The following is a 14,337-nucleotide window of genomic DNA, read 5'->3' as shown; positions in this document are numbered from 1 at the left end:
GGGGCGGACTCCGCGGACAAGGCCAGGCCTAGCCTTGAGCTCCGTCGGGCAGGGCCGCCGGGATTGGTGTCCGGCAGAGCGTGAGCCCAGCGGGCTGGAGTCGGCGAGCGGGAGTGAAAGAAGAAAAGCTAGAGAGCGAAGGCAAAGCCCGAGGAGAGAGGGCCGCGGTCGGCGGAGGAATCTGACTGCACGGTTGCGTGCGCTCACTCCCGGAGGGCTCCCTCAGGCGGGCGGCTCCGCTAGTGGCTAAAGGCAAAGCATTCCGGGGCGCGGCGCATGAAGTTGAGCTTCGTCCCTGCTAGCCGCCGCTTTCTCCCCAAAAATACATCCTAGCCTTAATGTTTATGCCTCCATTGCCCCAGTTCTTATCTGTTTTGCTCAATGTCTCATAGCTACAAGAAGGCAATTTCTGACGAAGCCCTCCGTCCCTTCCAAATGGATTATTTTGGCGGGCTTCCACCCGGACAGTATGCCACCCGAATGACTGGACAAGTGCACGGGAGCGGCTGTCATTTGCGGAGTGCGCCTTGCGATCTAGGCGCCTCACAGCGCAAATTATCCAGTAATTTCTCTGAAATCGATGCTGGTTTGTTTTCCCAAGGCAAATCAGCAGCTTATACAGACATTGGGGCCACAAAGCCGGTGGAACAACGGGAGACGGCTTCCTGAGTGTCAGGTCCTCCAAGATGAGCTTAAACTTCGGGTGGTGGGCAGGCTCGGTAGGCGGGAAAGGCCCGTGTCCAGATGAATGCAGTCCATGTTTATATTGATGAAAGACACGTATACCATTTGGTCCAGCTCAACCATTCTTAACAAGTGCTGGCTGTGAGCACTGGTGTGTGTGTGCCTGCGTGCAACCAGCAATGTAAGTGATGACCAGCTGCATGATGCCTTAATTTGAGTGGACAAAGTCGGTCAAGAACCACTTTCAGGCTTCTGGGTCTCCAAGTCTTTGTCTCCCTGTATCCAAACGAGGCATTCCAAGTTTGACAGCATGGAACATTGCATGTCCGAAATACCAACCGTGAAACTGGGTAAAAAGCTTCAGGAGGTGATATTGATGTGTATAGTTTAGGAAATAAAACCCAATACTTACTTCAAAGAACGTAATTTGTGGCTTTTTAGAGAGAAGGATACTTTGACAGTTTTCATTTGTCGTCTACATGTATATGGTACGTTTCATTCTGCCTTTTAATTAATTTGGTATTTTACTATGAAAACTACTTTGTATTAATAAAATAATGTATTTCCAATGTTATAAGTTGTGTTATAACAGTTTCAAAAGCCAAATAAACAAGATGCATTTTGATATCAATTGTTTAAAACGCGTATTTTGAGGAAGAACAAATTCATACTCAAAAAAGTTATCTTTGGGTGGAGTATTGTGGAAAATTTTTACTTTATACATTTCTAGGTTTCTGAAGTGACTGTATTCATTTTATAATTATAGAAACAAGACGTTAAATCCAGAAAACAAAACTTAAGCTTAACCAACTAGAAACTGTCAACCAACTTCTCACTAGGGACTTCCCAATTTAACCAAATATTTTTATTTGTTTTGTGTCTGCAAACATCTTACAAAAGTTTTCCCTTTTTGCCTCCACAGTGGAGCACTGAACTGCTTGTGGTCTAGTGCTGACTGATTCATGAATCACTGGATGCTCAAATAAACTCTAAATTAAAAAAGACATTAAATGAAAGAAAAAGTTAAGAAAATAGAAATGCTTTCCATTTTTTAACAAATGCTTAAACGGAAGGAAGGATGCATGCAGAGGTTAAGTAAGACTGCGTTTCAGATCTGAGGCTCGATCTGAAGAACATGTAGTATATGCCTATTCCTTTATAGCTAGACGTTATTTTCTTTGCTGAGGGAAAAGGAACATGTCATTATATTCAACTCTTCTAAAAAAGGAAAGCCATCTACCGAGTCAGTATAATTTATGGAATTTATCTGGAGCTAAAGGTAGTATCAAAATGCCATTTAAAGTTGCAAAGCCAAAATGAACTCTTACTTTGTCCTTTATAATTTACATGAAATTTATGAAGCAAATAACGAGACTAGGCAGTCATGCTCAAAACACTCAGGATGTGCCTACCACTGACTAATGATAGCTACATATATTCTTTTGTAGGTATATATTAGAAAATAAAATTTTAAAACAACGTGGCCAGATATATGACAGATCTTCAATAGGTATGCAATGTCTGTTTTTAAGTAATGAAACAAAGCAAACACTCCTGAATCTATGGCCCATATGAAGACCTAGATTGTTGAATTTACTGTTATTCCCCTATCCCATCTTTACAGAGTTAACCACTAACCTGAGATTTGGGTTAATCATTATCATACCTGTTTTATTTTTTAAGTGTAGTTTTATATCTATCGATCAAGATCTATATATCTACATACTTTTAAAAGTATGGTTTACATATAAGTATAGTGCACACACATATATGTGTGCTTAATGTTGCTTGTTTCTGAGATTTATACAATTAGTATGACTTTCAGATTTCTGCAACTTGCTTCACTAATTCAAGATTGTTTCTATCATTCCTCCAAGTTGTGCCATGTAGTATTAGTTCATTTCTTCTTGTTGATACATAATATACTACTATGAATATACCATAGTTTATGTGCCGATTTTCCTGATGTTTGGACTGTCTCTAACCTTTTGCTATTACAATTATATGATTATTCTTTATATGTCTTCTGGTGCACATGTTAAGAATATTTGTAGGGCATATATTTAGGAGTGGAATTGCTGGGTTAGAGGGCATGTGGTGATGCTACAGTGTTTTCTAAAATAGTTGTTTCTACTATTGTAGTTGTTTAAAATACAATATTTTAAAAAGTTTATACTTTTACCAACACTTGGTACTTTCAGAACTCTTAAATTTGCCAATGTAGTAGGAGTAAAGCTATAGCTAATGAGTTGTTTTAATTTGTACTTTCTTGATTATTAGTGTGGCTGAGCATCTTTTCATATGTCTTCAGGTACTGCTTGTTCTGTGCCATGCTTGTTCATGCATTTTATCTGTTTCATGGAGGTGTTTTTCCCCCTAATCAATTTGCAAGAGTTCTTGGACATATCTTGGACATGAAACTTTTGTCAGTTATGTGGATTGAATATCTCCAAGATTGTGGCTTTCCTTTATAATTTGTTTTTATATCTTTTGATGAGTAGAAATTACTTTGATTTAGTTGAATTTATCTATCTTCTCTTGTGTTTAACATTTTTAAAATGGCTTTAAACTCTTCCAACCTCAAAGTAAAAAAAAAATTCTGCACTTCTTTTTTAAAGCTTTAAAGTCTTGCCTTTTTATTTTAAGTCTTGGAATTAACATTTTGTGAGATCAGATCCAATTATTTTGTCTTTCTTCTTATTTATTTATTTTTGGACACAAGGTCTCACTCTGTTCCCTAGGCTGGAGGGCAATGGTGTGACCATGGCTTACTGCAGCCTTGACCTCTCAGGCTCAAACGATCCTCCCACCTCAGACTCCCAAGTAGCTGGGAATACAAGCATGTGCTACCACATCCAGATAATTTTTTCATTTGCAGAGACAGGGGTCTCACTCTGTTTCCATGGCTGGTCTTGAATTCCTGGGCTCAAGTATTCCTCCCACCTTTGTCTTCCAAAGTGTTGGGATTACAAGCATAAGCCACTATGCCCCACCCAATTAGTTTTTCCTTGTGACTGAACATTTGTTCCAAGAATACTTATTAAGTAGTCTCTTCTTTACTCACGGGTTTGCTATGCCATCTTTCTCATATATCAAGTTTCTATGTATGTGTGATTCTGAGGTTTCTATTCTGTTCTATTTATTTGCTTGTATTTCCATAAATACCAAGTTGTCTTAATTTATAGAGCTTTATGATAATTTAAGAAGAACAGTCTTCTTCTGTCTTATTTGTCTTCTTCAGGAGTGTCTTGGCTATTCTCAGGTCTTTGTTCTTCTATATACATTTTAGAATCAGCTTGTTGAACTATTAGTCTAATTGTTTTATCCCCTTGCCTGTAAAAAAATATTTTCCTTGCCTTTGGGGCTACGGTTTCACTACAAACTGTCTAGGAGAGGATATATTTGTATTTAGCTTGTTTAATACATTTGTGTTTCCTGTATCTGTGGGTTTATGACTTTGCTTCTGAAAATATCCCAGCTGTTATGTCTTCAAACATAGCTTCTCTTTCATTCTTTCTATTTTCTCTGGCTGAAGCTCATATTAGCAGTACATTAGATCTTATTATTATTCCAGTCTGTCTTTCTCTTAATCTCCTACAGTTACTAGATCCTTATCTCTCTGCTACTTCTGGGTAAATTATTTGAGCTATCTTTCATTTCAGTTATATTATCTACAGTTGCTTTAAGTTTGCTGCATAACCTATCGATTGCATTCTTAATTTCAATAGTTATGTCTTTTATTTCTAGAAGCTTATGTAGTTATTTTTAAAGTAAGTCTATTTTGTTAATCCTATGTCTCTTGCTCATTTATTTTTTCATTTTATTAAACTTTTCACAGATATTTTATATTCTGTATGTGATAATTCTGAATCCTTGAGAATCAATATCTGTTGTTTCTGATGGCTCTCATAATGGCATGTTTCTTTATGTGTATCATGAGTTTATATATATGAACAATTGTCTACTAAGTCTTTCACTAATATGGGATAAACAAGTTATAATAATAATAACTTATAATAACAATAAGTTATAATAATCAGCCATCCTCAGTTGCCTGGTCCATGTCACAGTTATTAAGTGGTAGAGTTCAGAATTAAATTCAGGTCTGTCTGACTTCAAAAACAACTTTTGCTCTCTCGGCCTTAGCGCCATCTTCTTGGAAACTTCTGCACCATGAGAGCCAAGCAGAGAAAGAAGTGAATGCGCAGGCTGAAACGCAAAAGAAGAAAGGTGAGGCAGAGGGCCAAGTAAACTGCTAGCTTGTGCACCCGCGGAGGCCACAGCAGCAGAAACATGAAGTGCCAGAGGCTGGGGATGCTGGCACAAGTTGTTGGACTGCATGCTACTGTCTAGAGCTTGTCTCAATGGATCTAGAACTTTCATTGCCATCTGATCGCTGAGACCACCTCTGAGACCCACCTTGCTCATAATCAAAACTGTCCATCTTGGTCCTTTGCCCTGGAACTGTGACATTCTGTACTACTTCTGTATTCACTTGTGGACGGGTGTAACAATCATACAATAAATCACTTCTGCTGCTGCCTTAGCCGAAGAATTAAAAAAACAAAAAAATAGAATACTTAACCAGGTGTCCCAAGGGCAAGTTTGCAACCTCCTTATAGGGCCACAGCTGATGTACTCTTGAAAGTGCCACCTCCTGGCTGGAGGCCAACCAACACAAAACCAGTGCACTAAACAAAAACACAACCAAAGACCCTCATGGAGTCCACTTCACTCCCCTCTTACCTCCACCAGAGCAGGTACTGGCATCCACAGCTGCAGGACCTGAAATTGGATCACATCACAGGACTCTTTGCAGACATTCCCCAGTACTAGCCTGGATCCTGGTAGCTCTGCTGGGTGGCTAGACCCAGAAGAGAAAAAAACAATCACTACAGTTTGGCTCTCAGGAAGTCCATTTCTAGGGGAAGCAAGAGAGCACCACATCAAGGGAGCACTTCATGGGACAAAAGAATCTGAACAGCAGCCCTGAATCCCAGATCTTCCCTCTAACATAGTCTACCCAAATGAGAAGGAACCAGAAAAACAATTCTAGTAATATGAAAAAACAAGGGTTTATTTTGTTTTGTTTTTTGTTTTTTTGTTTTTTGTTTTTTTTTACCACCCCCAAAACATCATACCAACTCACCAGCAGTGGATCCAAACCAAGACTAAATCTCTTAATTGCCAGAAAAAGAATTCAGAAGGTCGATTATTAAGCTAATTAAGGAGGCACCAGAGGGTGAAGTCCAACTTAAGATAATCAAAAACATGATACAGGATACGAAAGGAAAATTCATCAGTGAAACAGATAGCATAAATAAAAAACAATCACAAGTTCTGGAAATCAAGGACACACTTAGAGAAATGCAAAATGCAATGGAAAGTCTTAGCAATCAAACTGAACAAGCAGAAGAAAACTTCAGAGCTCGAAGACAAGGCTTTTGAATTAACCCAACCCAAGACAAAGAGGAAAGAATTTATCAAAACAAACAAAGCCTCCATGAAGTCTGAGACTATGTTAAACATCCAAACCTAAGAATAATTGGTGTTCCCAAGGAAGAAGAGAAATCTCAAAGTTTGGAAAACATATTTGAGGGAATAATTGAGGGAAACTTCCCCAGCCTTGTTGAACTAGACATCCAAATACAAAAAGCTGAAAGAACACCTGGGAAATTCATCACAAAAAGAGAATTGCCTAGGCAAATAGTCATCAGGTTATCTAAAGTCAAGAAAAAGGAAATAATCTTAAGAGCTGTGAGGCAAAAGCATCAGGTAACCTATAAAGGAAAACCTATCAAATTAAGATTAAGCAGATTCCTCAGCAGAAAACCTACAAGCTAGAGGGGATTGGGTACGTATTTTTAGATTCCTTAAAACAATTAGCCAAGAATTTTGTATCCAGTGAAACTAAGCTTCATAAATGAAGGAAAGATACAGTCTTTTACAGACAAACAAATGCTGACAGAATTCACCACTACCAAGCCAGCACTACAAGAACTGCTAAAAGGAGATCTAAATCTTGAAACAAATCTTTGGAATACACCAAAATATAAGCTCCTTAAAGCATAAATCTCATAGGATCTATATAACAATAACATGATGAAAAAACCCCAAGGTATTCGGGCAACAAGTAGCATGATGGACAGAATAGTACTTCACCTCTCAATATTAACGTTGAATGTAAATGGACTAAATGCTCCACTTAAAAGACACAGAATAGCAGAACAGATAAGAATTAACCAACCAAGTTTCTGCTGTCTTCAGGAGACTTACCTAACACAAAAGGACTCACATAAACTTAAGATAAAAGGATGGAAAAAGATACCCCATGCAAATGGACACCAAAAGCAGCAAGCAAGAGTAATTATTCTTCTATCAGACAAAACAAACTTTAAAGCTACAACAGTTAAGATAGACAAAGAGGGACATTATATAATGATAAGAGGACTAGTCCAACAGAAAAATATCACAATTCTAAATATATATGCACCTAACACTGGAACTCCTGAATTTATAAAACAATTACTACTAGACCTAAAAAATGAGATAGACAGCAACACAATAATAGTGGGCAACTTTAATACTCCACTGACAGCACTGGACAGGTGTTCAAGACAGAAAGTCAACAAAGAAACAATGGACCTAAACTATACCCTACAACAAATGCACTTAACAGATATTTAGAGAACATTCTACCCAACAACTGCAGACTATACATTCTATTCATCAGCACGTGGAACATTCTCCAAGGTAGATAATATGATAGGCCACAAAACAAGTCTCAGTAAATTTAAGAAAATTGAAATTATATCAAGTACTCTCTCAGATCACAGTGGAATAAAATTGGAAATCAACTCCAAAAGGAACACTCAAAACCATGCAAATACATGGAAATTAAGTAACCTGCTCCTGAATGATCATTGGGTCAACAATGAAATCAAGATTGAAATTTAAAAATTCTTTGCAGTGAATGGTAATGGTGACATAACCTATCAAAACCTCTGGGATACAGCAAAAGTGGTGCTAGCAGAAAAGCTCATAGCAGTAAATGCCTACATCAAAAAGGCTAGAGAGGACAACTAGACAATATAAGGTCACACCTCACAAAACTGGAGAAACAAGAACAATCCATACCCAAACCTAGAAGCAGGAGAGAAATAACAAAGATCAGAGCAGAACTAAATGAAATTGAAACAAAAAAAATTACAAAAGATAAATGAAATGAAAAGGTGGTTCTTTGAAAAGATAAATAGAATTGATAAGACCGCTAGTGAGATTAACCAAGAAAATAAGAGAGAAGATCCAAATAAGCTCAATTAGAAATGAAACAGAAGATATTATTACTGATACCACAAAAATACAAAAGATTATTCAAGGCTGCTATGAACACCTTTATACACACATAAACTAGAAAACCTAGAGAAGATGGACAAATTCCTGGAAATACACAACCCTCCTAGATTAAAACAGGAAGATATAGAGCCTCTGAACAGACCAATAACAAGCAGCAAGATTGAAATGGTAATAAAAAAAATTGCCAACAACAAAAAAGTCCAGGATCAGACAGATTCACAACTGAATTCTATCAGACATTCAAAGAAGAATTGGTACCAATCCTACTGACAATATTCCAAAAGATAGAGAAAGAGGAAAACACCCCTAAATCATTCTATGAAACAGTATCACCCTCATACCAAAAACCGTTCTATGAGCCAGTATCACCCTAATACGAAAAGAAAGAAAACTACAGACCACTATCTCTGATGAACATAGGTGCAAAAATCCTCAACAAAATACTGGTGAACCAAATTCAACAGCATATCAAAAAGATAATCCACGATGATCAAGTGAGTTTCATACCAGGGATGCAGGGATGGCTTAAGATATGTAAGTCAATAAATGTGATACATCATATAAACAGAATTAAAAACAAAAATCACATGATCATCTCAATAGACACAGAAAAAGCACTGGACAAAATCCAGCATCACTTTATGATTAAAACCCTCAGCAAAATCAGCATAGAAGGGATATATCTTAAAGTAATAAAAACCACCTATGACAAACCCACAGCCAACATTATACTGAATGGGGAAAAGTTGAAAGCATTCTTCCTGAGAACTGCAACAAGTCAAGGATGCCCACTTTCACCACTTCTATTCAACATAGTATTGGAAGTCCTAGCCAGAGCAATCAGACAGGAGAAAGAAACAAAGGGAAAATTGCTAAAGAGGAAGTCAGACTGTCACTGTTTGTTGATTATATGATCGTATACCTAGAAAACCTTAAAGACCCATCCAAAAAGCTTGTAGAGCTGGTGAATGAATTCAGCAAAGTTTCATGATAAAAATTTAATGTACACAAATTAGCAGCTCTGCTATCCACCAACAGTGACCAAGCTGAGAATCAAATCAAGAACTCAGTCCCTTTCACAATAGCTGCAAAACAAAACAAAACAAAACTTAGGAATATGCCTAACCAAAACAATGAAAGGCCTCTACAAGGAAAACTACAAAACACTGCTGAAATAAATCATAGACAACACAACCAAATGGAAACACATCCCATGCTCATGGATGGGTATAATCAATATTGTGAAAATGACCATACTCCCAAAAACAATCTACAAATTCAATGTCATTCCTATGAAAATACCAACATCATTCTTCACAGAACTAGAAAAAACAATCCTAACATTCATACAGATCCAAAAAAAAAAAAGCCTGCATAGCCAAAGGAAGACTAAGCAAAAAGAACAAATCTGGAGGCATCACATTACCCAACTTCAAACAATACTGTAAGTCTGTAGTCACCAAAACAGCATAGTACTGGTATAAAAATAGGCACATAGAGCAATGGAACAGAACAGTGAACCCAGAAATGAAGCCAAATACTTACAGCCAACTGATTTCTGACAAAGCAAACAAAAACATAAAGTGGGGAAAGGACACCGTATTCAACAAATGGTGCTGGGATAATTAGCTAGCCACATGTTGAAGAATGAAGAATGAAACTGGATCCTCATCTCTCACCTTATACAAAACTCAGCTCAGGATGGATCAAAGACTTAAATCTAAGACCTGAAACCATAAAAATTCTAGAAGATAACAACTGGAAAAACCCTTCTACACATTTGGCTTAGGCAAAGACTTCATGACCAAGAACCCAAAAGCAAATGCAATAAAACCAAAGAAACTAGATGGGACTAAATTAAACTAAAAAGCTTCTGCACAGCAAAAGCGTTAATCAGCAGAGTTAACAGACAACCCACAGAGTGGGAGAAAATCTTCACAATCTATATATATCCAACAGAGGACTAATATCCAGAATCTACAAGGAACTCAAATCAGCAAGAAAAAACAAACAAAGAATCCCATCAAAAAGTGGGCTAGGGACATGAATAGACAATTTTCAAAAGAAGATATACAAATGGCCAAGAAGCATATGGAAAAATACTCAACATCACTAATTATCAGGGAAATGCAAATCAAAACCACAATATGATACCACCTCACTCCTGCAAGAATGGCCATAATAAAAAAATAAAAAAATAATAGATGTTGGCATGGATGCGGTGAAAAGGGAACACTTTTACACTGTTGGTAGGAATGTAAACTAGTACAACCACTATGGAAAACAGTGTGGCAATTCCTTAAAGAACTAAAGGTAGACCTACCATTTGATCCAGTAATCCCATCACTAGGTATCTTCTCAAAGGAAAAAAAAAGTCATTATACAAAAAACATACTTGCACAGGCATGTTTATAGCAGCACAATTCACAATTGCAAAAATATGGAAGCAGCTCGAATGCCCATCAATCAATGGAGTGGGTAAAGAAAATCTGGTATAGATATACCATGGAATACTGCTCAGCCATAAAAAAGAACGAAATAATGGCATTCACAGCAACCTGGGTGGAATTGGAGACTATTATTCTAAATGAAGTAACTCAGGAATGCAAAACCAAACATCCTATGTTCTCACTCATATGTGGGAGCTAAGCTATGAGGACACAAAAGCATAAGAATGATACATTAGACTTTGGGGACTTGGGGGGAAAGGGTCCGGGGTGTTCAGGGATAAAAGACTACATATTGAGTACAGTGTACACTGCTCAGGTGATGTGTATGCCAAAATTCTCAGAAATTACCACTAAAGAACTTATCTATGTAACCAAACACTACCTGTTCCCCAGAAACCTATTGAAAAAAAAACCAAAAACAATGGTTTTCATCTTTTTTCCCCAGTGTTTTCCATGTTTTAGTTATATAAATAGCACCTTCATAATTTTTGACATATAAGTATTGCATTGACAATTGATGAAATAAGTGAGTATATGCAAAATAAGTATATTGATTAAATGAGTATATACATTACTATATAGCAAATAAGTGTTTGATAATGCCAACTATTGTTATCTTTATTATTTTTCTTTAAATAAACTTTATTTAAAAACTTATTTATCTACTTTAGCGTTACCCTAAGTAATACTATCTGTGATATTACAGTTTTGATGTCTAACATATTTGTTGTAATACAATTTAAGGCACATACTTAACAATTACTAGTGTTTATATCCTCATATGCTTCAAAAAATCTTTTGTCTCATTAGTGTTAACTGTACCACACTGATAAACACCACAGGCACTCAATAAACTCTTTTTGACTAAATGTGTGTTTAATTCTGTTGCTAAACTAAAGCATAGTTAACAGCTAAGCTCATTTGAGGTCCATTTACCTCCTATTTGACTTTGAGCAATTTAGTCTCTTCATCTCGTCATACCTCAGGTTTTTTGTTTGTTTGTTTTGTTTTTTTGTTTTATTTTGAGATGTAGTCTCAAAAGCTGGAGCAGAGAGAAAGAGTGCAGGTCCTCATTGATTTCAGGCTGGGATGCCCTGCTTTTCTGCACCAGCTTAGGAGGGGGTTGGACCCAACAAACATTAAAAAAATAATAAAAACAATCTATTGAATGTTAGATTTTATAATAGTTATGGATGAGAAAAAGGGATCATTTTCTTTTTAATTATTATGTTTAAGCATTAGCACTCTACAATAGAGATCTTAATGTTTGACAGAACAAAATGAAGATTAGTGTGCATTTTCTATTTCAGCTATAGCCCATGTATAACTCAAACCACATGTCATCACTCAGAAAAACAGAAGACCTGCCCTTGACTAAGAAATGGCCATAATCAAGTGCTATCATCCTCTAATTAGAGGATACAGATGCAATGCTTTTCTTTTTTCTTTTCTTTTCTTTTCTTTTCTTTTCTTTTTTCTTTTCTTCTCTTCTCTTCTCTTTTCTTCTTCTCTTCTCTTCTCTTCTATTCTCTTTTCTTTTCTTTTCTTTGAGACAAGGTCGTGCTCTGTTACCCAGGATGGAGTGCAGTGCTGCCATCTCAGCTCACTGCAACCTCTGCCTCCCTGGTTCAAGCGATTCTCCTGCCTCAGCCTCCTGAGTAGCTGGGACTACAGGTGCCCACCACCACGCCAGGCTGTTTTTTTGTATATTTAGTAGAGACGGGGTTTTGCCATGTTGGCCAGGCTAGTCTCAAACTCCTGACCTCAAGTGATCCACCAGCCTTGGCCTCCCAAAATCCTGGGATTACAGGTGTGAGCCACCCTGCCTGGCCCATACCTCAGTTTTTGAAGGTAATGATGGATATTATTAAGGAAATAATGTATATAAAACTTTTAATATAATTTCAGATACATAAGAAGGGCTCAAGAATGTTAAAAAGCATTATTACCTTAGTTTAAAGTCTTCCAGGGGAGAAATTCTAACACTTTAGAAATGTAGCATTTGAATAATCCTCCTGGAAGCTAACAATCTATATAGGGGTATTATTTTAAGGATCTTTTGTTTTGTGTATAATTTTTAATATTTCAGGTGAAATTTACATAAGATTAACCATCTTAAAGTGAACAATTAGTGGCATTTAGTACATTCGCAATATTGTGCATTTTCATCACCCCAAAAGGAAACCCTGTACTGATACCATTTGCACCCAATTCTTCTCCCTGTCCCTGGTAACCACTAATTTATGTTGTGTCTGTATGGATTTTCCTTTTCTGGATATTTCTTATAAATGGAATTATATAATAGGTAAACTTTAGTATCTGCCTTCTTTCATTTAGCGTGTTTTTAGGGTTCACATATTGCAGTACGTATCAGTACATCTTTCCTTTTTATGGTTGATATTCCATTGTAGGTATATATCACAATATGTTATTCCATTCTTCTATTGGTGGAACTTTAGGGTGTTTCCACCTTTTGATTATTGTCAATAGTGCTGGTAGGAACATGTGTGTACTTATACTTGCTTGAGTACCTGTTTTCAGGTCTTTTGAGTAGATACCTAGTAGGAAAATTGCTAGGTTGTATGGTAAATCTATGTTTAACTTTTTGAAGAACTACCAAACTGTTTTTCCCAGTGGCTGAACCATTTTACACTTCCACCAGCAATGTACAAGGGTTTCAACTTCTCCACATCCTCCCCAACACTTGTTATTTTCCATTTAAAAAAAAATTAGCCATCCTATTAGGTGTTGAGTAGTACATCATATGGTTTTGATTTGCATTTGCATTTCCCTAATAACTAATGACGTTAAGCATCTTTTCATGTATGTGCTTGTTGGCAATTTATGTATCTTCTTTGGAAACATATCTACTTAGATCCTTTGACCATTTTTAAAATTGGGTTGTTTGTCTTTTTGTTGTTGAGTTGTAAGTGTTCTTCATATGTTCTGGATTCTACACCCTTGTTAGATAAATGGTTTGAAAATATTTGCTAGCATTCTGCAGGTTGTGTTTTCACTTTCTTGATAATGCCTTTTGCACAGAAGTTTTTAATTTTGATGATGACCAATTTATCTATTTTCTTTTGTTGGTCATGCTTTTGGTGTCATAACTAAGCATCCCTTGCCAAATCCAGCATCATGAAAATTTACTCCTGTTTTCTTCTAAGTGTTTTATGGTTTTAGCTCTTGTACCTAGGTTGTTGATTCATTTGAGTTAATTTTTGAATATAGAATGAAGAAAGAGTTCAACTTCATTCTTTTGCATGTGGATTTGCAGTTGCCTCAGCATCACTGGTGAAGAGACTATCCTTTCTCCCATTGGATAGTCTTAGCACACTTGTCAGAAACCAATTGGCCATAGGTTATTTCCTGACTCTCAATTCTATTCCATTTATCTATATGTCTGTTTATATGTCAGTATCACACTATTTTGATTACTGTAACTTTGTAGTAACTTTTCAAGTGAGAAAGTGTGAGTCTTCTGTTTTCTTTTTAAACAAACAAACAAAAACATTGTTTTGGGCTAGGCATGGTGGCTCATGCCTGTAATCCCAGCACTTTGGGAAGCTGAGACAGATGGATCACCTGAGATTAGGAGTTCAAGACCAGCCTGGCCATAATGGTGAAACCCTGTCTCTATTAATATACAAAAATTAGCTGAGCATGGTGGCACATGCCTGTAATCCCAGCTACTCAGGAGGCTGAGGCAGGAGAATCACTTGCACCTGAGAGGCGGAGGTTGCAGTGAGCTGAGATCGCACCACTGCACTCCAGCCTGGGTGACAGAGCGAGACTCTGTCTCTAAATAAATAAATAAATAACAGTGTTTTGGCTATTTGGGTTCCTT

At 36.9% G+C, this 14,337-nt stretch overlaps 1 long non-coding RNA gene across 1 annotated transcript; it reads left to right on the top strand.

The window, feature by feature from the left end:
* LINC00526 (long intergenic non-protein coding RNA 526) lies at positions 4 to 1,309 on the top strand. Its single transcript, NR_026849.1, has one exon. It is a non-coding gene; the product is annotated as a long intergenic non-protein coding RNA 526 (long non-coding RNA).
* Positions 1,310 to 14,337: the final 13,028 nt, after the last annotated feature.

The sequence above is a fragment of the Homo sapiens genome, chromosome 18 (assembly GCF_000001405.40).
Source record: "Homo sapiens chromosome 18, GRCh38.p14 Primary Assembly".
In the NCBI taxonomy this organism is placed as follows: domain Eukaryota; kingdom Metazoa; phylum Chordata; class Mammalia; order Primates; family Hominidae; genus Homo; species Homo sapiens.
Note: the sequence above shows the minus strand (reverse complement) of the source record. Positions and strands in the feature narration are given on the sequence as shown.